This window comes from Homo sapiens, chromosome 2 (assembly GCF_000001405.40).
Source record: "Homo sapiens chromosome 2, GRCh38.p14 Primary Assembly".
In the NCBI taxonomy this organism is placed as follows: domain Eukaryota; kingdom Metazoa; phylum Chordata; class Mammalia; order Primates; family Hominidae; genus Homo; species Homo sapiens.
In genome coordinates this window covers 190,889,665-190,916,330 of record NC_000002.12, presented here as the reverse complement: position 1 = coordinate 190,916,330, position 26,666 = coordinate 190,889,665, and the positions used below count along the sequence as shown (strand labels likewise).

The 26,666-nt window shown below is 33.1% G+C and overlaps 1 protein-coding gene across 8 annotated transcripts in view; it reads right to left on the bottom strand.

The window, feature by feature from the left end:
• Positions 1-26,666, bottom strand: part of GLS (glutaminase) — an 84,732-nt gene that overhangs the window by 49,222 nt on the left and 8,844 nt on the right. For 4 of the 8 annotated variants that reach the window (NM_014905.5, NM_001437282.1, NM_001437283.1 and 1 more), the window contains exons 2-7: positions 21,083-21,179; positions 20,606-20,727; positions 15,638-15,767; positions 14,305-14,384; positions 11,164-11,327; positions 6,010-6,068 (exon numbers count right to left, since the gene is read on the bottom strand). In NM_014905.5, the coding sequence (NP_055720.3) occupies positions 6,010-6,068; positions 11,164-11,327; positions 14,305-14,384; positions 15,638-15,767; positions 20,606-20,727; positions 21,083-21,179 (652 nt within the window). The other 4 variants (XM_047443958.1, XM_047443960.1, XR_007072653.1 and 1 more) reach the window with 3 other exon arrangements.

Here is a 26,666-nt window from a genome sequence, read left to right as displayed (position 1 = left end):
AACAGATGTTAACAAAAATAAAAGCTAGGCATGCATAAATGAGAGCTGGTCATACTCGTGTATTTTGTATGTTTGAATTTTTTCACAATAAAAAATTAAAGGAAAAATATTTATTTGCTAATAATTTCCCATACTAATTTGTAAGATTTTCCTTTTGAGTATTTTTCTTTCCCATTTGAAACAGTAATTGATTTTTAGTTCATATATCAGTGGATATCTTCTATTGCTAGAATGAACTCAGGACTAATTCTCTTCCGATTTTTAATTTTTACAGAGGTGTGAATTGCTTATAATAGACAAGTAGATTGAAATTTTAAAAGTTTTATTATAGCAATGTTACTCAGTTCTTTATATGCCTCCAGCTCATTACATGCCAAAAGTCATACAGTACTCTAGCCTCAAAAATTATGCTAATGCTCCTATTGACTGACAACTTAAGATTCCCTTTCGATTTTGCTGAAACCAAAGAACTGGAAACAACCTAGTATATAACAGGACTTATTACCAGTTATTACAATGGTTCACACCCTTAATAACACTGACTCTAATATTTCAAAATGTCCTCTTTTGCTGGTGGGCTGAGGTTTTTACAATGTGAAGCAGTGCACTGTACTAAAATTTGAAAGACATGAGACTATGTCTTTCTTTTGGAAAATAGGAGGACACCTGGACTAAAGGCAGATTAATTTTTTAAAAGGCGCATCTAGAAACAGATTTTGAAACTGACTTATCTTAAAACTGTCAATGCCCCTTTATTCCTTGGAAAGAATTCCAAGTATGGAATCCAAAGATATATTTATCCCAGTTTGAAGATCACTGTACAAGCATTATTAGATACTGTATTATTTTTGAAAAAGCTATAATCATTTGTAGTAAATACAGTAGAAACATTTTTAAAATAAACCAAATTGGAAGAAATATACTTATCAAAATTTCTAATCCACTCACCAAATGATTTTTAAAAAACAAACCCATATGGGTTGTTTGAAAAGGGTAATCAGATTCTGGTACCAGAAAATTATACAAATTTAGGCCGGGCGCGGTGGCTCACGTCTGTAATCCCAGCACTTTGGGAGGCTGAGGGAGGCAGATCATGAGGTCAGGAGATGGAGACCATCCTGGCTAACATGGTGAAACCCTGTCTCTACTAAAAATACAAAAAAAAAAAAAAAATTAGCCAGGCACAGTGGCGGGCGCCTGTAGTCCCAGCTACTCGGGAGGCTGAGGCAGGAGAATGGCGTGAACCTGGGAGGCAGAACTGCACTCCAGCCTGGGCGACAAGCAAGACTTCGTCTCAAAAAAAAAAAGTAAATTATAAAATTTTTCTGTAAATATGCCTGTCAAGTTACAGAATTTACATTCCTTTGAAGAATACTGTATGAATGAAAATTTGATAGAGGCACTGAGTTTTAACATTATCTATTAAAAAATTAATGTAACTATATTGCAATGTTTTATAGTTTTTACAACATATTTATGAATTGATTCATGTATTATACTTTATAACAGGTGAAAAACACTGTTAACAAGGACATCTGCCAATAAATTTAATAATAAAATGGCTCATTTAAAATCAATGCATCAGAGTTATTTTGTAAGTATCGCACTTGATTCCATTCATAAAGTATGGAGGTGCAAGCCAATTAAAAATTAGAGATCATAGAGGAAAAAGGCAAAAAGAGGTAACTAAAAACGATTTTGTGAAATACTCTTAATTTAGTCTTATGATAGAAAATGGTTTAAAGCTAAAGAGTATTAGGAAAATAAAAAATAAGACACTCCAGGTAAAAAAGAATGTTTTTCTAGATCTAGTATTTTCATAGATCAACCCTAAAAATAAAGTAACAGAACAATTTTCAGTTGACAATAAATGCTCTACCTTTCATTAAAAAAAAAAAACTAAAGCATAAACTGATATAAACAAGAAGTAAATAAACCAATATAATCCTGTCTTCTGAATGTTGCAAGTCCAAGGCATCATGCATTACTCTGAGAGTCACAAACTACTTTAAAAACCTGTCTTATAAGCATGCCTAACAGGTTATTGCTAACATAACCAAACTGAACATCACATATACATTAACTAAGCTTGTCTTGATTTTCAATGAGTATGATTACAAATTGTTTAAAGAGAAAGAAAAAAAACCCTAATTTTTAAAATTCAAAAATACTTTTGATTAAAAAGAAAATTGAACTTCTTTAAATGACAAAAACTGGAAACTACCACTAGAATGAGGCATGCCAAGTAGAGTGGCTAATGCCTGTCATCCCAGCATTTTGGGAGGCCAAACTTGGAGGATCACTTTAGGCCAGGAGTTTGGGACCAGCCTGGGCAATATGGCAAGACCCTAGCTTTATAAAGAATTAGCCCTGCATGGTAGCCTGTGCCTGTGGTCTCAGCTACTCTGGAGTCTGAGGTGGCAGGATCACTTGAGCACAGGAGTTTGAGGCTGCAGTGGGTTATGACTGTACCACTGCACTTAGACTGGGCAACAGAGAGAGACCTTGTCTCTAAAAAACAAAAAACAAAAAACTCTGAGAGGTAAAAACATAGAAGACAGTGTAACTTTTACTATTTCTAACATGAAAAAGCATTAAGTGTGGCAATTATTTTGCAGTATGTTGTCCTCATTTTCCTATCCTAACCCTTAAGTTATCACCAGATCTTAACTTTTAAACTAAAACTACGTGAAATTTTTACCAGTGAAAAGAAAACAAATACGTAAGGATACTGCTACATCATATAAAAATAACTGTTCCTTTCAAATTTATTTTTGTTCTTTCCTTTTAATCAAGCAATCACACATTATCACAATCCCAAATAAAACAGATTACAACAAAAAGTATTCCTTTAAAGTTAGTAGCTACCACAGAGAAAAAGAGAGGAAGTATAATACCCTTATGATTTTTAAAAATTATGTGCATTTTAAGTATAAAATTACATTTGTTTTTAAAAAGGTATTTACCTATATAGCTTTGTTTAAAATTTTAAATATTGGAGTTTTCCTATAAGCTTAGTAGTTAAGAATTTATGCAACAGGCTCCTTCTGTCCAAATTCTCCTTTTTTCCACAATCTGCTAATCCTTTTGAACATTTGCTCTGCCTCTTCCCCCATTTCCTGAGGATCACCACCAATCCTACAAGGAAAAAATATCAATACTACAAAATTATGAAATCAAGAGTCTTACTAAAGACTCTACTTAATTTTGGGGTGGGGGGATTAACATGAAGAAAATGATTTTAATGGCACCATGATAAATTCCTGAATTTTGAAAGAAAAAAAAAAATCACAAATAGCCTTAAGGTCATCAATTAAAAGAGCTAAAAACAGAATTCACCTCTAGTAGCCATGGTGAAATATCCGTGGCTTTGGGTACTCAGATGCAAGCATCTTGGAAAAGGGCCTGTTTCTTTACTGACTAATGTCCGAAGAATGACTACGTAACACTTGCTATCAAATGAGATACAACTTTTAAACCAATAAATTGTTATCGTTTGAACCAGTTCAAATTAAGGAAATAGTACTTCTGCATTTGGGGCAATATAACTATGCTAACTAAAATTAAAGATGTCATCAAGAGAAATGGCAAACACCTACGTTAAATATGGCAGAGTGAATTGTAATGAACAGCACATTGAGTATCAGGAGATTTAGTTCAAGTCCAATTCTACTGCTGTTACAACCTTGCCAGGTTCTCAGTTTCCTCCGTTATATAAAGTAAGAGAACTGGGTTTGACAATTTTTAAGGCCTTTTGGCTATGGTTTTATTACCTAAATTTCAAACCAATACCAATTTATAAATATTATGTGATCATACAATTTGCAGAGATCACATTATAGATATTTATATGAATTTAATCCTTTCCCTAAAAGATCCTAAGAAAAATATTACATATTCTGGGGCATTCAATTTTACATAGGGTTATATCAGGCTTTGCTCTCCAAGATTTGTATGAACTTCATAAAAAAAAAAAAAAAAAAAGCACTTGTGAAACACATGCTAAAAACAAAACAAAAACTCAGGAGAAAGTGACCTTAAATATAAACCATATCCTGAAGCCTCATTTCCAACTTTGCCTGTAAATTTAAATTTTTATGAAAATCACTGATCAAATTTGTAGGTACAAGATGACTCAATTAAATTTTTGCACTGTTGAACACTGAACCACACTTATGTTGTATGTATCTTTTAACTTTGTTTATAATCACTCATACTAAAATGCAGCTCAATGTATAGTTTATGACTCATGACTAAACATGGCAAGTGAAACTAATGAAATGATAGTGTGATATGATAACCAGACATGCAATTCCCACATGCAGCATTTCGGTGTAGTCTGTTAAACCCATGAATCATTAAATGAAAGATTTTTAACTGTGTGCAGTGAAGGAAGTCTTCTATTAATTATTTACATAAGCCCTTTTGAGACTATGCGTAGTGTATGTTAATCTCTCTTCAGTTTAAAAGTTCTTAAACTAGGACCCATGGATCAGCCTCGAAGAGTAGTGAACACCTGAAAGTTTATGTAAAATTATGGTATGTGGATATTTTTCTGGGAAGAAACACTTTTGGTGTTTTTGTCATCAAGCATTAACACATACATTATAGTATGTGTTTCCTTATTTCTACTTTAAGTTACTTGTTCAAATCTAAGCAATTATTAATGAGGCTTTTCTCTCATCACAGCATTTATTGAATTTTCTTATAAGGACCCATTTACTTTTGCATATCCCACACTACAAAGTAAGCTACCTAAAGCTAGGACTGTGCCTTGCAAATAATCGCATTTTCAAGTTTCTTTCAGCTCAAACTGACAGCTTTCTCCATATCCTATTACAATTAGTTACATTTTAAAAACACTTGGCTATAACATCTACTTCATTAGAGTTATAAGAATTAAATGGGCCAATACTTTCAAAGAATTTGCCTTGAAGTAACAAGTAAACATATAGATTCTTAAGATACCAGCCTTCTATTTTAAAAGCTTTTTCTCACAGATATAAAACTCTTAAAAGTTAAGAAAGGCTTTCTAGTATACAAGTTAGATGAAATTTTGTGAACTGGGCCAAGGGTATCATTTATACTCAAATATCCTTCATGTAACCAGGGTACCTTATCCACAGTAATGCATTTACAAGGCCATGTAGTTATGCTTTCCTCTAACTTGGAATAGATAGGCACAGATTTACCAAAGAAGTATACAAATGTTCCAAACATAAATAAAATTTATTTAAATATAAATAAAATTTATAATTAGAAATTAAAAATCTGAAACATCTAAAATCGTGTGGTAGATTTAAAAATCTATCACACAGGAACCATTTTCAAATACTTATTTTAAAATACTAGATCTTCCAATTATTAACGCAAACCAAACACTAAAAAAAAAAAAAACCCTTACAATGCAAATTTCAAAGCATAAGAAAATATAACTCCATAATTGGAATAAGCCTTATTTATTTTAATTATGGCATGATTTAAGTAAAACCAAATGAAACAAGTTCCAATAAAAACTGTGATTTCAGCTCATGAGAGTATCAAAGACTTGAGAATATTTGAGGGTAAATGTACTTTGTCTTAAGTACCAGAACATTTGTTCCCACATATACTAATAACAAATATACAGTAAAATGCCTTTAATTCTATTTATAACTGTTCATTCTGGAAGAACCAAAAGGAAACGAAAGGAAAAATATCAAAACTTTAAAAAAAAAAAAAAAGCCTCTATGCCTTTCTTCAGCAGACTTTAAATATTTTCCAGATCTTCAAGTCAAGAGTAAATGACTGTTGGAATTTACAATGAGTCATCTGTTTTAATTTTGCCTTGAAATGACTACATCATTTATTTTGAAATAAAGATCCTAACACTATACCATAAGACAAATTTCTTAACACCAAGAGAAAATTTTTCATAATTCTACATAAATAATCCCAGATTCATCTTTATGCCTTAGCTGTTAAAAAAAAAAAGTTTTACTAGGTTAAAATGAAACATCAACATTTTACCTTTATTAGTGAAGTCACAACAATTGCTCCAGCATTTACCATAGGATTATGTGGTTTATCTGTAAAATATAAAAGCAATACCATTATTTCAAATACTTAAACACTTGAGTAATATTACTATACTAAAAATGACCTTGGAAAAAGCACAGCTAACGTACTCAATTTTGCTTTTTTCTTAGTGCTTTATTTTTATCTTTATATACAAGCACATACACAGAAGGATTTCAAAACACAAACAAGTGATTTACATAGAATAATAAAATTATAAGGGATTTTTTTTTTAAGAGCCAAAGTTTCAGACTGTCGCCCAGGCTGAAGTGCAGTGGCACAATCATGGCTCACTGAAGCCTTGACCTCCCAGGCTTAAGTGATCCTCCAGCCTCAGACTCCAAAGAAGCTGGGACCACAGGCACATACCACACCTGGCTAATGTTTTATTTTCTGTAGAGACAGGATCTCCCTATGTTGCCCAGGCTGGACTCAAACTCCAGGACTCAAGCAATCCTCCCGCCTTGGCCTCCCAAAGTGCTGGGATTATAGGCATGAGCCACCATGCACAGCCTATAGGGGATATTTTTAGGCTTTCTGTATTTCCTGACAATAAAGGTATATTTGTATTTCTTATATAATTTTAAAGTTACTTAAAACTTTACATTAATCCAAACTCCTATTTCTTCTCCTAATTCTTACAATAAATAAGAATTTCAAAACTCAACTGATTATATTCTCATTCACTGCATGACACAAGCACCAAAAATAAAATCTTGGGGACAGTGAAAACATCTATTTACAAGCGAACCTCAACATCTTAATTTATCTACCTGGTGGTTACCAGAAGTGGGGGAGGGGGGAGAAGGGATTGCCAGATGTTGGTCAAAGGACACATAATTTCAGTTACACAGGGGGAATAAGTTCAAGAGATCTATTTTATAACATGATATAATTAATAACAAGTATTATATGTACTTGAAAATTGTTAAGAAAGCATACTTTGTCTTCTCATTACAAATAAATATATGAAGTAATGTATGTTACTTTGATTTAGCCATTCCACAATGCATATATATTTCAAATCACTATGTTGTATACCATATACACAATTTTTATCTGTCAATTAAAAATAAATAAATAAAAAGAAAAATATCCTACATTTTGGGTGTATTCATAATGCCAAGTTTCAAAAGTTAAAATAAAATCTTTGTGTTATATCTGATTATTACAATCAAGATTTGCCTATCCCAAATTAGTTTAAATTAGTTTAAATTAGTATAAATTAGTTTATACTTTTATTTGTATGGATGTTTATTATCTGTCATTTCAGAGCTTTTGACATTATCAGGCTTAGACTCTACAGTCCTAGAAGACTGCTAATCTATGTACTCCAAATGGTATCACATAAATGTGAGTATTAAATATTTTCCAAATGATAAATACTCTGCAAATGCTACATATACTACACTCAAGATGTCTTAAAGAACACTAAATCATTTTAAGGCATGACAGCCCAATTTTCAGATGTATGTAATTGCTCATTCTGCCTTTGGCTCAAAAGCCAGACATCTGAACATCCGGAAACCCGCCAGAGAGAATGTAACACACCACCAGCCTAACTGCAGTATAAAACCTCGGCCTAAGACCTATGACCGTGAAATTTTCTTGCTTCCCTGCTCTGTCTTAAGGTAAGATGGAGTTGATGGGTTTAATTTAGAATTTTTAATTTAAAAAAGTTTTGAATGGCAGAAATAACCTACAACACTAATAAAGGCTATCATTTAAAGTAACGAAATATCAGAGCGTGTTATACTGACAAAATGGACATGGGTGACATCTGAAATTTATGAACATGCTTTAAACTATAATGCAAAAAAAGATCAATTTTAACAAGTATTTATTTTCCCCAAAGGCAATAAAATACACAGCATTCTTTCATATTATATCAAAAGAAGCTTTTCAAGCTGCTAAGCATATGAACCTTACAAGGGTTTTGTTCACAGGTGAGGCTGAGGCAAAGTTTGCTAATACATATACTAAAGAACGAAAAATATTAAAAAGGATTTCCAATTTAATTTGGATATTTATATTTTCGGTATTATATTGGAATTTTACAGTGCCAAATAAAAACTGGAGTTAAGGAAACTCAATTATCTGACATTACACACATTTACAATATATTCTCTAGATATAGAGAAAATATTCTCCATCTGGTTGGGATATATATGGTTACGAAGAATGTGCAGTGCCCATTGAGGATGGTTGGAAAAAATGTGCAGTGCCCTCTCACATTCTTCCCAACCATCCACAATTCATCCTATCAATTCAGTCCTGTCATCCTCATGTAAATTAACTCAACTCCTCTTTTTTCTCAATCCTCCACACATATAATCAGCACATACATTTTGGCACCTGTCAATTACATACTTGTAAGATAATACAACTAACAGTATTCAATGCTTAAGTATGTCTTCTCCCATTATGTATTAGAAATATGTAATTGCCTTCTGTATCCTGTAGTCAGAAAAGTTATTCCAAGAAGCAAGGCCCATGTACCCTCCAGAGCTGTTAACAATACAGACAAGGAAAGCTATATAAATAATTTGTTGATTAACCCGATCACTACAAGGTAGAAAAAGACTTCCCTGGGAGATGGTAGTTTGCAAAACTGACATCTCCATAAAGTAACTTGTTTGCTCACTTATAATGATAAAAAATATCAGCCACCTCCTACCAAAACTTTCTATGTTGCAAACATTTTAAAACTACTGTTATTGCCAGGTGTGGTGGCTCACGCCTGTAATCCCAGCACTTTGGGAGGCTGAGGCAGGCAGATCACCTGAGGTTGGGAGTTCGCGACCAGCCTGACCAACATGGAGAAACCCCGTCTCTACTGAAAATACAAAATTAGCCAGGGTGGTGGCACATGCCTGTAATCCCAGCTACTCGGGAGGCTGAGGCAGGAGAATCGCTTGAACCCGGGAGGCGGAGGTTGCGGTGAGCCGAGATTGCGCCGAGCCGAGATTGCGCCACTGCACTCCAGCCTGGGCAACAAGAGTGAAACCCCGTCTCAAAAAAAAAAAAAAACTACTGTTATTAAAAACTACTGCCGGGTGCAGTGGCTCAAGCCTGTAATCCCAGCACTTTGGGAGGCCGAGGCGGGCAGATCACGAGGTCAGGAGATCGAGACCATCCTGGCTAACACAGTGAAACCCCATCTCTACTAAAAATACAAAAAATTAGCCAGGCGTGCTGGCGGGTGCCTGTAGTCCCAGCTACTCGCTGAGGCAGGGGAATGGCGTGAACCCGGGGGGCAGAGCTTGCAGTAAGCCGAGATCATGCCACTGCACTCCAGCCTGGGGGACAGAGCCAGACACCATCTCAAAAAAAAAAAAAAAACTACTACAATTTCTCTATTTACCATATCCCTATTAGTCTTAATAAATCATCACAATCTTATAAAGCTGGTGTAACAGTAATATATTTATTTTTTAAAAATTTATTATTTTAGATACACACATATATACATACACACACAAAAAGTGTATGGTTTCACCAAAAATCTACCCTTGCAATTTTAAATATGAACGAGATCTTCAAATTGTTTTTGCTGGGCTAAACTAAATCAGGACTCAAGAGCACAGGCTCTAATCAGAATTCAGGAAGGTGTAATATAGTGAAGCCTGTATTTACTGTTACTTTCAAGACTCAGGGTGTTGGCTCAGGCTTAGAAAACGTCTATGAATATCGAGGCAAAATCTCTTGTTAAACTTTATGTTTTATTCTTATTATAAACAATTCTAAATCTCTGATTTGTCATTTTTTCTTATATAGAATACAGTATCAATAATTCATGATTCCTAAAACCATAAATATATATGGCAAAAAAATTCATTACTTATACTGTTAATTTCATTTGCTCCAAGCCCATTTTGTTTTTTTGTTTCTGAAATCCTCTAAACATTCAAATTACTATATTTGTTTTTTCTTAAATATCTCCCTCGAAATCCATCAATTCACTAGACATGTCTATTCTCCTTTGCTGTTCATGGAAAAGTATTAAATTTTTCTTTTAAAATATTTGGTATTTTTAGAATAACAGTATTAATTCTTTCAATATTAAATCTAGATGTCAATGAGCTTAGTAAATAAAGTGCTTCTGCATATGATGTCCTTATTGAAGTTGTTAATTTACAGTAATGTCCATAAAACCAAACGTAGCATCAGAATAAAAAGGTTACGGTAAAATGGGAAAGAAAATGTAACTGCTCTCAAAATAAATAGGATGAGAAGCATAAGAAAATACCAGTCTTATGACTTCATCTTACAAACTAATAAAATAATGAGTATAAGGCACATTTCATTTTTTATACAGCAGAAAAAAAAAGTACAAAAGTGTATCTCTCACAGCCATTACTACAAACTTCGCTCTCACTTTCTTCAATTCTATATCTTAACTCATCAATCAGAAACACAGCATATGCTTAGAAGATTAAAAAACAGAAACCAAACCATGGGACTAGTTTAACTTAGTTTGCACTCAGCTAAATGATGTTTAGACTTAAAATCTCTATCAGATCAAACTAACTACTTTTGTCCTCCCCTTTTCTTTTGAATTCCTGTAAAAAGATTTGTTAACCAAGCATTAAACACAAAGCATTTCTTTCAAATTTTTTAATGTTATAAGGATAAAAAGTAAAAACACTCACTGAAAAATAATAATCCTCACTATCTCAACCAGGGCCACAATAAAACTTTCAACTACTATATACAATATAATAGATAGAATAATATACAAACACCCATGCACCTATCATTTAGCTGCAATAATTACCAACATATAGTAATAATCATACCCAGCACTCCCAGCTGCCTTAACTAAATTATTTTAAAGCAAATCTCATGTATTTTGAGATTTCGCTATATTTCCCTAAAGGTGGTTATGAAGAGAGAAGTTCATGTTCTCCCTAGCCCACTTCCCAGTGGTATGAGATGCCTAAAATAATCATTTTTAAAAGTAGGTGATGAAACTCTCTCAATGGATTATATAGAAATCACATGACAAATACTTTTAATTTTAATCAAAAAATGTTTAAAACGACTTAGATTTACATAGGAAAATGAGACATTTCTTTTTTCAACCAATGTTTATGTAATTCTTACCATCTTCATTCAAAAATAGTTTGTTGAATCTTAGTCCACTCGGCTCTTTTCCAACATATCGATGCACATATTCAGTTCCAAGATCATTAACAGCAATGGCATATTTCAAAGGTTTTACACAGGACTGAAGACAGAAGGGAACTTTGGTATCTCCAGTAGAATGCCTATTTAAAAGGAGATTTTTAAAAAATAACATCAACTGGGAAAAAAATGTAACTGCATAGTTGGAATTATTCTTTTTACATGTTAACAATTCCAACAAAAATTTTCCCATAATTCAACCACAAGTTTATGTCAAAATTACAGAATAAATTTAAGTACAGTCATCCTTTGATATCTGTGGGAGGTGGATTCCAGGAATCCCTGTGATACCAAACTCCATGGACACTCAAGTCCCTTATATACAATGATATAGCATTTGCATATAACCTACACACATCTTCCCATGTGTTTTAAATCATCTCTAGATTACTTATAATACCAAATACAATGTAAATGCCATATAAATAGGTGTACTGTATTATTTAGGGAATAATGACAAGGAAAAAATGTCTGTACATGTTTACTACAGCCACAACTATCCATCTTTTTTGGCTCAAATATTTTCGATCTGTGGTTGGTGGAATCCATGGGTGCAGACCCCATGGATACAGAATTGACCTATGTTTATTTTAAGAGAAATACTGTGAAAAAAAGCAAAAGCATGAAAGTATTCACGTAACAGAATAATGGTTTTAAAGTAGATAATAAATATGTAATGTGGAAATTTTCCTCTGAGGGCAAGAGAGTAAGAGCATGCTCCTCCTTACTCCCACGTGTATTCAATCACATAAAATAAACTAGCCCTTTTAGAAATTATTCACCTTTTTTTCAACTCAGAGCTGTAAGCTGTGACTAAACCATGGTTAAAAAGTTAAACAGAACTCAGTTTAGATTCAATACTATTCTCTGGGACCCTGTCTACAAATGCCTCATATTGCAAGCCACATCCACTCACAATCCTGGGCCCCATTAAAAAAAAAAGCATCCAGTTTTATAAACATGACAGAGCTGGCACTAAGTTCAGTAGGCAGTCATCATTACCATGCAGATAAATAACAGAGCAAAAAGAAAGCTTTATATTACCACCAAACTGAGAAGTACATGAAGTAGAGAAAAGATTTGGGAATGAAAAAGTTCTGGCCAACCCAATTATAATGTAAGCTTCACAAAGGCAGAGATCTTTGATTTACTTACTGATACCTCCCAGGTTCCCTGAACAATGTCCCAACACATCACAAAGCATTCATTCATAGTGAAAGTCATTCATAATGAAACTGGGCACTATATTTTTTTCCTATCAAATTTATTCATGTGTAACTATAATCTTAAACTATATAGTTATACTATATAAGATTGTTACTTCAAACTTGACAATCATTCTAAAAAATGATTAAGAGCTTGTCTTACTACCTTTGGATTTAAAAATACATATGTTCTAGTTCTGAAGTCAACTTTCTGAATTCTCTAGATAAAAAAACTAAGAGACATAGAGAATGTTTAAGAAGAGAAAAATCATATTCAATATTACATGATAATAATTTTCTTCAAATTCAAAGACTTCCATTACTTGATAAATTATTTCCTAAAATGCAAAAACAGGAATACCATTCCCTACCGGAATTTGCTTCAAGGGATAAAGTCACCATGCCTTTTCATTTCATTGTGTCCCTTCATAGCACACAACATTTAATTCAACACATGGTGACTGCTCAGTACATTTTACTGACCCAAATGAGGATAAAGGCATATAATAATGAAAGAAAAAATAGACTAGAAGTTAAGAGACCTAGGTGTTCATTTCACCTTTGCCAATATCATGTCAACTATGGTCCTCAGATTCCTTACTTTCAAAATGAATGGGCTAACCCATATATTTTTTACTGTAAGTACTTGAGGATAATTAGTAAAAAAAAATTAAAATCACCTAAAATGAAGGTCCTTACGAGTCACAGATTTTTGGCTGGGGGGCAGGGGCTCATGCCTATAATCCCAGCACTTTGGGATGCCAAGGCAGGAAGATCACTTGAGGCCAAGAGTTCAAAACTAACCTGGGCAACATAAAAGATCAAATTTTCATAAAAGGAAAAAAGGTTTTTAATTGCAACATTATCTTGAAAAGTAAAATCTAAAATTACTAGGTTAAACGGCTTTTAGTAGTTTTAACGAAATTTAGGTAAAATTACAACTCTGATATAAACTTTTCAAGCTGTGTTCACTTACAAGTTGTACATCTTATGTAAGTTCTATTTTGATAAAACAGAAATACTTTAATAAAAAAACAAAAAACAAAGGAATATATCTCTGAGCTAAGTCTTTAAAAATGAGTGAAAAAAGAATATTGATTTTTCTCTTTGGCGTAATTTTCTAATAAAACCAAATTATAAGATGATAACAATCTTTATGTCTAATTCCCAGCACAATGAACACGGTCATTCTTGAAAAAATATTCTAGAACTTTACCATTTTCCAAGGGCCTCTCTTAATTCTTTGATTTTTAAATCAAATCATTCTTTCTAAAGCGCCCTCACATCACTATCCTTTTTATAATTCTGCAAGTTCCTCATCTGTCAGCAGCTGTGCCTGCAATGTAAGCAATTCCCAAATGCTGCTTTCATGGACTTCATGAAATCCTACATGTTTTGCAACTGACTTTTAACTTTGGGATACGTTATGTTGCACTGTCTTAATTCTCATGCTAATTTTATCAGGAACACAAGGAACAAAGACAACGACAGATGGGTTACCAATGTTAAGTTGAGAAATAGGGACTAATTTTATTAGTAGTCAGTTCATTAGAGAATAGTGTCATGTTTTGACAAGCCTGCTTTTCTGAAACAAATTGGTAACTGCAGGTATTTGAATAATACTCAAAAAACAAGACTACAACTGTGAATAAAATAGATGTCTCATAAAACTTAATATAATGTTACTGTTTGAGTTTTTAAAAATTACATTAAAATTTAAATTTATTTACCTTTTGAAATTATATCCTGTTAGGACTAATTTCCATTATAAAAGATGATCTTCTCCATGTCATTCTCACCATTATACAAAAGTTAAGGCTTAGAGTTGGTTTTCATGAATTTGAAATAAACTTACCTCTGTCCATCTACTGTACAAACAGACACACCCCACAAATCGGGACTGAATTTGGCCAGTTGAGGAATATAATCTGCAACCTATCCAAAAGATTGGAAAGAAATGAATAGATATAATATTGACAAATAATGTATTTTCTTCCACCAACAAATTTCTTATCTCATTTTACCTTCTACCAATGACTAGTTATTCTACAACACTCAGTGGCTTCATAGTCTATCTTCTGTAACAATGCTCATGAAAACTAAAGGCAAAACAGACTTGAGAATTATGAGATCTAAAGTGACTTTTCTCAGTCTCTATTATTTCTTATTTTCCAATGCATTCTTTCTTTCTCATGTTTAGCAGGAGAGTCTAGCAGAGGAACTTGAACTTTTTTTTTTTTTAAGCAGGAAAAAAGTAAATTTATTTAATCAGGGTCATGGGTGCTAGTAGGGTTTCACTAAAACATTAGGAATCAAGTATTTAAAAGTAAGTAGTAAGTATTTACACTGAAGTTGTTATACACTTGAATCTTGAACATGGATTTAAACTTCAAACAGTGCAATTATATGCAGATTCTTTTCTGCTTCCGCCACCCCCAAGACACAAGACCAATCCCTCCTCTTCTTCTTCAGTCTAAACATGAAGATGATGACAATGAAAACTTTCATGGTGATCCACTTCCACTTAATAAACAGTAAATATATTTTCCTTATGATCTCAATACCATTTTTTATCCTCTTTATTGTAAGAATTCGGTATATAATAAATATACAAAATGTGTTAATAGACTATTTATGTTATCGGTAACGCTTATAACAGTAGTTATAAGTAGTTAAGTTTTAAGGGAGTCAAAAGTTATACTCAGATTTTTGACTGCGTGTGGGTTTGGCATCCCTAACCCCTGCTTTGTTCAAGGGCCAACTGGATTATACTAAAGCTACCCAAAGTTAAAACAAAAGAAAATGAAAACTTTCTATATGAAAATCAAATAGTTCCTAGTATTATTTACAGGATTTTAAAAACTAGAAACATTTCGTTTAATACTGAAGGATATCAGATCTGCAGAAATTCTGAATAAGATTTTTTAACTTAAAAATTTAAAATCCATCACCATCATCTGAAAATAAAAAATTCTTACCCTTAGATTTCTCTTTAACCAGAATAACAAAGTTAAATATTTAAAATACCGTAAAAACACTAAATCCAGTGGCTTCACTTAAATTTCTTAAGCGAAGCTAAAGTGTTTTCTTTAGCAAAACACAACTACACAATTTACTCTCTAGACCTCAAATTAAGCTGAATTTATTAAGTGATTCGGTTATGAAAATATGTACATCAAAAGCATTACCTTTCCTCCAGACTGCTTTTTAGCACTTTCATATAACTCATCAATGTGTGAGGTAAAAGACATAAAGTCAGGAATCACAAACTTTCTTCTAAATGCTTGTGTCAACAAAACAATGTTGCTCTGAACACATCTGTAGAATGTAAAAAGATAATTAATAAACTGGGTACATTTCAAATATCAGAACTTGGTAATAACAGTAATAATTAGGACACTATTTAAATAATAGATAAATTTATCATTTTATACAACTAAATTCTATAAATTATGCTTTCTACATTATCTTTCCTTCTAGCAGTCTTTCAAGTAGTTGCTTGTAAGCTGTTGAACGTGTAAGAGATTAATCTGGATGTGCCTAAAATTGTGTCACAAATTAAGACAAGGCGTTCCACCAGGTTTAAGTATTAAGACCATCTGAAACAAGCTTCTTACTCAATCAGAGTTGGTAACATTCAGCATGACGACATCTGGTTAACAAAATTCAGACTGCCAAGGTTGAGATCTTGTTTATTTACCAAGTAATCTCAGAAATACATCTCTTAGTTCTTATATAACTATTACTAGCATTTCATTCAAAAATTAAACATTTTGCATTATAACATATTTTCCTTAATTATATCAACTTTGTTTAGTCAGATTAATTTATGTCTTAAATGAAATGTCTGTTGATATGCTTGTAAAAATAATCTCTAATTTGAAATAAAATTTCATATGAAGTAGTGTAATAATTAATTTTATATTATTTGAGTCACCAAAAATGTTATATTACAATATGCTATTTAATGTAAGATATGTAAATATAATGCAGAATAAAAATGTTTCACTGTTAAAAAAGTATTTTAAAAATATAGTAAACCAAGTGGATGGGAGAGCATGATATTCTGAAATCTAATAATTTGAACTGTATTCTGCTTTTTGCTAAAAAGAATTTAAGCCAGAAAATCAGTATATTAACGTAGCCTTTAAAACGTTTTGCAAATGGATTACAGCCAATTGTATATTCTGAGCTTCTTAAGTCTCTGTAATGCAGTAATAGAATATTTAATTAATATTTAATTAACAAAGGAAGACTTGCTAAACACGGTGTTAAGCCATAATACCAACGATAATAAATCTTAAGAGTAAGATACTCTCAGTATTTCTTGTTTAGTCTGTAATAAATGAGAAATTTTTAAATGTCAATATTTTAATTCAAGTTGTTCTAGATGAAACCAAATTAAAGCTAAAAGCCAGGTTTCACAGTTTAACTATTAATAAGAATTCAGAATAATATATACTCATTTGTTCAATATAAAATTAACAGTTTAAAAATAAAATCCTAATAGAAATGACTATTGTTTCAGTCATAAGGATCCCCCTATTACAACATTAAAAAAATTACAGTCCTAATTTCCATAACTTATATAGTATTGACACCCCAGAGCTAAGAAATATTTACTTCAATAAGCAATCATTTTCAGATAGTTTCAATATTAATCTCAAAAGTATTACCATTATTTTAATATTTTTAATGTTTCAAATAGCTTCTAAAATCCAACTTCCAAGTATCAGAGTTGCAAGAGATGTACATCAAAGAACACCTTTCTCAGAGGAAAGAAAAATAGAATTCCTGATCTTAAACCAGTATTTATATCTACAACAAATCAAATGCACTTCCTCATTTTTCAAGAAGTTATAAATGCAAAAATGAGAGCTGCTGAACAAATTTAAATTATTAACCTACTACCATTTAACTATTTTAATCAGTACCTTTAAAAGAATTTATAATTAGCCAGGCACGGTGGCTCACGCCTATAATCCCAGCACTTTGGGAGGCTGAGGCAGGCAGATCACCTGAGGTCAGGAGTTCGAGACCAGCCTCAACATGGAGAAACCCTGTCTCTACTAAAAATACAAAATTAGCCGGGCGTGGTGGTGCATGCCTGTAATCCCAGCTACTCGGGAGGCTGAGGCAGGAGAATTGCTTGAACCTGGGAGGCGGAGGTTGCGGTGAGCCAAGATCGCGCCATTGCACTCCAGCCTGGGCAACAAGAGCAAAACTCCATCTCAAAAAAAAAGGATTTATAATTAACAAAATTATACACTCAGTGAAACTTTACAAATGTTCTGCTCTAGCAGAAGGTGCTGGTAAAGCTGTTCCAACAGCCTTCACTGGTAATATTAACAGGCTGACAAAGCCAATTTTGCCTCTCAGGAGAGTATCTAACTGCATACCGATCACCATTCCAAACAGTAAGGTTTTTCTTGGGAGTTATTTTAATATAGATACCATGAGTCTAACTAGGAAATGAGAAGTCATATAAAATGAACTCTGAGGAGGTGCTTATGCTTTTCAGCAAGTTATATATATCTCTGTCCTTTGTTCAGTTTTCTTATCTGTAAGCCGGGAATAATCATTTTCTTTCCTTAAGTGTTTATAACTAAAAACTAATGCACAATGATTGACAAAACATTTCTCACAAATAATTTTTCATTTGTAAAATAACATAATAAATATGAAATTTTTAAGAAAATCAAACATACAAATGAAAGGCTACCATTCACTTTCTTGCAAAACAAAAAGATCAAAAAATTATGATCATACAAAGAAAGTTTTAATACCTATAAAGTTAAAAATGCACGAATAAAGAAAGGATTAGTTTTCCACACAAATATTTTTACTTGTATTAGTGTTAAGATTTACTAGCATTAAAAACAATTGACTATCAACCTGGGTACAGGCAGTCTCCAACTTTCGAACAGGTTTTACTCCAAAAAGTATGCTTAGAACGTATTTTCCCAAGTTAAAAAAAGTCACACATAATAGTTTTCTCAGATTACCGAAAAAGTCTAAAAATATTAATCTACAATGTATTTTAGGTAAAATATTAACACACTGCTTCAACCAAACCTACCCACCTTTATAAATTATTTCTCTGGGGAAAAATGAATCCCATGTTTTAACATCTCCTCCCTAGCTGCATGAAAGGGAGAAGTTTATTTCTGGCAACACTAACTAGGTAACTTCTTATATTTGAAAACAGAGAAAAGAACATCTCTGAAGCAATCACCTTTCCAGGTGACTGAAAGCTATTAAAAGGTTAACAGTTGGAGGTTTTGAACCACCTCATTCTAAGAATAAAGAGAAATAATTATGCCCTAGAGACTTGTACTTTTCTACTGGTTGCTCATATAGACCATAAAACATTTGTCAAGTTGGAAACTGCCTGTATTACAAGCATAGATTTTTAAAAATTGGATTAGTGTTTAAAACAATAATTACTATCTCTTAATTGCAGGCAGAAAATTTAATGTTTGCAGTTCCCTGGCTTAATAATCAGAGGATTTAAATTGTTTTTAATTTCATATTTAAACATAACAACATGTTTACAAAACATAAATATTTTTTCAAGTATTAAAACCGTGTAACTTTAGGAGGCCGAGGCGGATGGATTACCTGAGGTCAGGAGTTCGAGACCAGCCTGGACAACGTGGTGAAACCCCGTCTCACTAAAAATACAAAAAAGCCAGGCATGGTGGCAGGCGCCCTTAATCCCAGATACTTGGGAATTTAGGTGGGAGAATCACTTGAACCCGGGAGGCAGAGGTTGTAGTGAGCCAAGATCATGTCACTACACTCCAGCCTGGGCGACAGAATGAGACTCTGTCTCTTAAAAAAAAAAAGTGTAAAATACTGCTTCCACTTAAAATTCCAAAGCAGTTCCCCTACTGATTATCAACAGATCTACCAACCATTACTCTAACAACTTCATTCACAGATACAACAAAATAATGCCCACAGAAAGCACTTTAATCAGAATATTGTGCAGACAGTTCATGAACACGAAAAATAATCCTTACCGCAAAGACACAAATAAATTTAGAAATGATGTTTTTCTGTCTCTTAAAAAGCAGGTTCTGGAAGTCAAAATTCCTAATACCAACTGCAACACGGACCTAAAGTCTACACTTTAAGGTCAGCTAAGTTAACAGAAACAAGAACCTCCTCGTGAAAAGATAAGAAACCCAAGCTGTCAGCAGTGCTTCACAGCATGCCAGGAAACTTCAGAGAACCACAGTTAAATACTTATACCTTCAGATGACTTCATACTCCAGGAGACATCTAGAACAAATCACCCAACCCCCAAAAGAAGATAAAACAAAAGTAAATACAACCATACATAACAAACTTTCAAAGTAGATGCAGAAATTTTTTGGATCCATGTCTGGAAAAAGCCAATGTCTTATAGTAGTATTTACAGTTTTATACTAGTTTCTACTTAAATAGTAGTAGTTTAAAATACTATTTGATTCTTTGGGATCCATTACACACATGTCCATTAAATCTTTAAGTAATCAAACTAATAGAAACACATTAATGAAGATAAATAATAAATATATGCAAATACAGGAACATCAAAGTAAAAATTCTCATTCAACCAAATCAAGGCTTTAATCGCCAAAGTTGCCTTTAGTTCTTTACTGTTTTGAAGAAAATGAAAATAGCCAAAAGCCTATGTATCAATATGTCTGAAGAGAGGAGAGGAGCAGACAATGCAGGTATGTAAATGTGAGGAACACAGGTCTGTCTGAAGCCCTCTCATTTTATGATGTCACCTAAATCACCTTGTGGAAAAGAACTAGAGACCATGCTGAGAAAGCGTGCAAGTCATGCAGATGAATTGGGGATCAATATAAGCAATGACAGGACAAAGGATGTGCTCTACTCAAACTGAATGCAATCTCCAAGTACTGTAAACTGGAAACATCGGTGGCTAAATTTGCTTAGAACAGATTTAAAGAAAGAATACTCTTAGCCCGGTGTATTATAGAACCTAATATGTACCAAGTTCTTCAAACAAATGATGTTTATAAATCCCCTTTTTCCATTACACAGGAAGCAGTGGCCTTCAAAGATGCAATTTTGTTTTAAAAGCAGAATCACCGTATAGCATAGCAAATCACCATTAAAGGTTTGGCAGAAACTTTTACTTTTTAAAAAGATCTTTGTCTAGCATGACACCATCTGATGTTGTTTGAAGAGTTAATCTTAACATATCCATACACTCTTTCAACCTGGGATCAGACGTTCGCAATCCTGTAGATTTGAGTGCCTGTTTTTAAAAAAATAAGAGTTTGTAAATATATAGTGCAAATAATGTATATGCTTATACCAACTATAAGATTTTATTCCTGTATATAAAAACTTCTACCCAACACTTGAACATGAATATGGCATCTTAGTGTCACTATTACCCACTTTCTGGACAAGTTTCTCATTGTTTCTTTCTTTTTCTTTCACTGATTACCTTGAAATGAGCATGACAAAAATTTGAAAACATAATAAGAGAAATATTGTCAGTCAGAATCTACATGTCAGACGACCTTTAAGACTATATTTCAATAATACTGTATATATTTATTATTATTGATTTTTTTAAGTTAAGATAGAAAAATATAAAAACTTACTGTAATAAATTTATGAACAGGTATTTTCTCTTGTCCTTCAGCAATTGTATAGAACAGCAAATCTTCCAAGCTAGGTAACAGACCCTGTTTTATTTTACTAAAGAGGTAGAAAGAACACAAAATTAATCCTTGTATGAACATTCTACTGGATTTTTAACTAAATCCATTGTTAAATAACCACTAAACTAGACTACAGCTGAGCTCATATACTCAAGACTACAGTCATAATAAATGTTGATTTACCAAAATCAAATCAGTACCACTATAAACCACACTGAAAAACAAGTAGAAAAAAAATCATTAACACATTTTTTAATCCCAGGTTTTGAAACCCTGATCATCAACTCTAGTTGTGCTAATGCCCAGCCATCCGTTATGGTGATGCCTTCCTATACACCCCAGTACAATCACCCAATACAAATTATAGAGTTCAGCAAACGTTCCGATAAGACTCAACACTCTGTTCAGTTGTTTTGGGGATTTTCTAAATATGATGACTATATTTACATATTATTCAAATAGTTAACCTGATTATAAAATCTGGGAGAGATAGCAATTAACTACTACACAGTAGTTAAGATCAAGTGCACAAGTTCTTGAATCCTGGCTGTAATACTATAGTTGTGTAACCTTGGGTAAATTAATTAACCTTTCTGTGATCCAGTTTCCTCATCTGAGAAAGGGAATAAAACAGTGCCTCCCTCATAGGGTTGTGGTGAGGATCAGTTGACTCAATACATTCAATATCTTTAGAACATGTCTGGCAGAGAGTAAGACTCCACTGACAGTAGTTGTAGTTATTATTTCTAAAGTGATCTAGGTTTACATATCCTAGTCAGCCCTTTGCATCCATAGATTCAACCAACACGGATAAAAAATATTCAGAAAAAAAATAAAAAAACGTACATTCAAAAGATAGTATAAGACTTATTTACATAGCATTTACATTTTATTAGGTATTATAAGTAATCTAGAGATGATTTAAAATATATGGGAGGATATATGTAGGTTATAGGCAAATATTATGCCATTTTACATAAGAGACTTGAGCTGTGGGGGACCTGGAACCAATCTCTTAACATATACAGAAGGACAAGGCAAGACTGTATACATCAAATTCTACAAATCATAAAGACTATTAAAAGAAAAACGTTACCAATAAGTATGCATTAAAAATCTTAATTAACTAAACTAGTGTAACACTAAAATGCTATGATTAACCAAACTTTTAAATACTGAATGTCACACAAATGTTTTTTAAAAACACATAGCTTTATCATTAAAATATTTAATGACATATCCTGATACATAATTATTCCCTGAAACTGTTTTTGCTCTTAGACAACTTCTAAAAATGCATTTGAAGCTGGGCGTGGCAGCTCACGCCTATAATCCCAGCACTTTGGGAGGCTGAGGCAGGAGGATCACTTGAGGTCAGGAGTTCGAGATCAGCCTGGCCAACACGGTGAAACCCCATCTCTACTAAAAATAGAAAAACTAGCCAGACGTTGTGGCAGGCGCCTGAATCCCGGCTACTTGGGAGGCTGAGGCAGGAGAATAGCTTGAACCCGGGAGGTGGAGGTTGCAGTGAGCCAAGATCGTGCCACCACACTCCAGAGTGGGTAACAGAGCGAGACTCTGTCTCCAAAAAAAATACATTTGGGATGTTTTAGTAATAATAACTACAATATATTGATCACTTACTTATATTCTACACACTGTGCTAAGTGTTTTACATGCATTCTAACTTAATCCTCCAAGGATTTTATGACAGAGGTACTACTGTTATCCAAAACATAGTATGATTTCTGGTACATACTTAGAAGCTCAACAAATTTGTTATTTGTTCAAAAAAATGACTACCTCTGTCCCCATTTCACAGATTAGGAAACAGAGGCTCAGAGGTTAAGAAGCTTTCCAAGGTTACACAATGGCAAAGATGGATTTTTCTGAATCCAAACTACTGCTACATTATACTGGCTCTCTAACTTACTAGCTTGTTATTACTTTTATAAGGTACAAACAAGTTTTCTAGGTCTTATCCTGACCTAATACCATTAAACACAGCTTAACAATACTCACCACCTAATATTCAAAGAAAAAACTGAACCAGCTGTCAAAAAATCAGTGGATAATAACATACCAATTATTTACAGCAAATGGTTGGTCAAATAAACTTCAGATAGTGGTAGTTTGTCACTTTAAAAAACTGCAGAATAAGCTTTCTATGTATTTATCACACAAGTAAATGGTATTTGCTTTGCCTAAAAGCTATGTAAATAACGTAAAATATACACTTTTTTAGCTTATGGCACATAGTGAAAAAAAATTAAAATGACCACGTTATTGCCAAAGCTAGCAAAAAAAGACAAATGTTTACTTGCTTTTAAACAAGAAATTAATTTTTATCTATAGGGGAAAGAATTTAAGCCAGCCCTAAAAAATAAGCTCACAAAATAAGCTGTCAAAACTGATAAAAAGAAATTACTACCTATTTCAGCATTTGAAACCTCAGATTTTGATCTGAGAATGAATTCGCTTCAACAGTCTGGCGAACAAACATACTCAAATATTCTCCTCAAACTTTCCACAAGGCAGAAACTACTCAAGATCATTCATGCCTTAACCCCCCTTTTCTCTCCCTAAATTAATTCTTTCTGGTAATTCTTCACAATAATGTATTTTTCATTAAAATTCAAAAGCTAAAAACTATAGCTTTTGGTAACTATATAGTAACTAGGAAATCCTTGAGAGAAGTATTTAAGTTTTAATGACAAATAGGATTATAGCAATCTTTCAAATCTTATCATCAACAATTATTAATAACCCAAATGAATCCTCCAGATTCCCCTGAAGAGAAAAACATAAAATGGTTATGATATTCAGCAATTCAAATAGGATATAACAGAAGATAATCTGAAGGAAAATCCTTATTTCTCACCTTTTTACTTCTTCTCCAACTTATACTGTCTCTCTCGTTTCCTTTCTAAATGCTGCCTTTAAGATCATCTTACCATCATATTGTTTCTTCTTTTACCCATTCCTTCCCCTACTTTAGCCTTTAACTGTCTTAAAAAATAATTTCTTAATGAAAAAGAAGAAAAATCCCATGCCATGTATGACATCATGTTAGACATCATTTACAGTCTAGAAGAAGTAGGAGACATGTACATAAAATGAGGAATTACAAGAATAGATCTATGACATCCAGACTTTGGAAAACTACTTCACTGTGGTCTAATAAGGTCAAGCTTTTTTTTAGATGAGGTGGAATCTGAGCTAAACCTGAAAGATGGGTAAGAGCTGGAAGCATGGCAACAGAAAAAGATTTCTGGCAAACAGACCAAAGGGATGAAAGTAAGCATTCACTTAGTGTTTATAAAGAACAAAAAACAGCTAGAGCACAGAATGTGTGAATTAAGGTGCCTGTTTCTACCTATAGGCTATTATATGAATACTTAATTTTTTAGTGTTGAGAATATATATATTCTGAATATATATATCTGAGGTAAATGAGGAGACTACCTTCCAAAATCTACATTAAGTTTAAATGCAGGGCCAACTTCTGCAACATGAAAAGAGGAACTGTCTTTGCTTACCCCACTGACCAAATTAGTTTCCCCATACCAAAGGGGGAATTCATACTCCTCAGTCTGGTATGCAGTTCTCTATAAATTAGTTTTACACTATTTATTCCTAACTTAATCCTTATAATTCCCCAATGTAATTGACTAGACTCAATGACCTGTAAATAAGTGCTATCTCATCTTTTTTTTTTTTAACCTATCATGCCTTCTGTGTAAAACCTTCCTCTCCCTAAATCTTAAGCTATCAATGATCATTTCAATTGTTTCACAGGACTTTGCCCCCACCAGATTCTCTATACTCTTTAGCATTCTCTGGTATCACTAAGTTTTGTCCTTTTCTTGTACCACTTATTATATGCCAAGCAATAGCAATAAAGATCCCTAAAGTAAGGTTGTGGTCTAGGAGAAATATGACTAAAGCCATGAGACAAATACTATGGTAGAAGTGTTTTTCAAAAAGTATTTTATTAGCAAGTACAGATGAAGTATTTAATTTTGCCTTAATCGGTAGGGGAAATCAAGAAAGTTTCTAATCTGTAATTAGGAGCAACAAGGCAAACTCATCTTCATCAGTTCAAAAATCTTATAAATAAAAAACTATCAAATGAAAGGAAGAAAATAAAAAAAAAATCCTTACTAAGAACTACAAAATGAACAGAGGAAAATAATTGAAACCAACTGTATGGTCTTATTTTGTTAAATAACATTTCATATTACCTAACCTCCCCAAACTATAAAGCTTCAAGGCTGGGGTCAAGTCTTTCTTATTTTTTTTTTCGCATAACTCTTAAAACACATAGTATAGTATGGTAAACCTATGAGACAATGAAAAACTGTCTTTTCAAGTGGGATTAAAAAAAATGAGGCCTAATAATAACACAATACAAAAGGATTTGCTAGTCTTTATGCCTTCATTTAAGAATAATGATCCTTCAGATGATAATTCAGGGTTGTTTTAAAATCAGTGTATCATTTTGAATTTATAGTGAGCTGACTGATAACAACCGTCTATCAACACCAGCAAACTGGCAGATTAATAAACCTGTTAGATAGAAAGTTGAATTGATGGTGGCTGACCATATAGTAAAATAGCATATGAGAATGAATGTTAAGTCTAACAAATTGACAAATTCTAGTTATCATCCAAGTGATTTTGCCCCAAGGCTAATCATTGGTTGAATTTAAAAATAAAAACTTACATCTTTTAAGGCTTTACTGCTAAAAAAGGACTCTCACTTTCTATCATATTAAAACCCTATGAGGTAAATTAAGGTGGGTTAATTGTCCCCAGTGTACAGATAAAAGAGAGTCCTAGAAGAGTGTGGTGGCATGCACCTACAGTCCCAGCTACTTGGGAGACTGAGGCAAGAGGACTGCTTGAGCCCAGGAGTTCAAGGCTGCAGTGAGCTATAATGGCACCAATGTACTCCAGCCTGGGTGACACAGCAAGATTCCATTTCTAAAAAAAGAAAGAAAATGTTAATTTAAATTTTAAATTTAAAAAAAATTTTGTTTTAAGAGTATCCAAGTCAAGCAGAATGTCCAATGTCACATAAATCTTAAGTGGCTGGACCAGAATTAGTCCTACAAAGCTCATCCTTTGTTCCCAGTTCCAGACTCTTCCTGCTCTGCCACCTCATGCTCTCAGTGGTTAGCACTCTATTTTAGGAATAATATCTGTAATTCTTAAACAATAATAAATTTCTAACCAAAATGCACATAAGAGAACTAAACTGGTCTGCCTTGATAAAACTGCATCCTGTCAAAGCAAAGATGAGATTATATTCAATTAGTGCTGCTGTTTTGACTGGACTTTATAGCACAAATTCATTTAATAGCACACCAAAGTAAAAAGCACAAAAGCCACTTTATGTGAGGAAATGGTCAGGCTGCCCCTGTCAGCTCATGGTAATTTGTCCATACGTTTGCACAACTTCAGAAGTTTGACCCAAAAGGCAGTCTGGCTGTCTCGGGTGGGAAGACTAGGATCTGGGGAG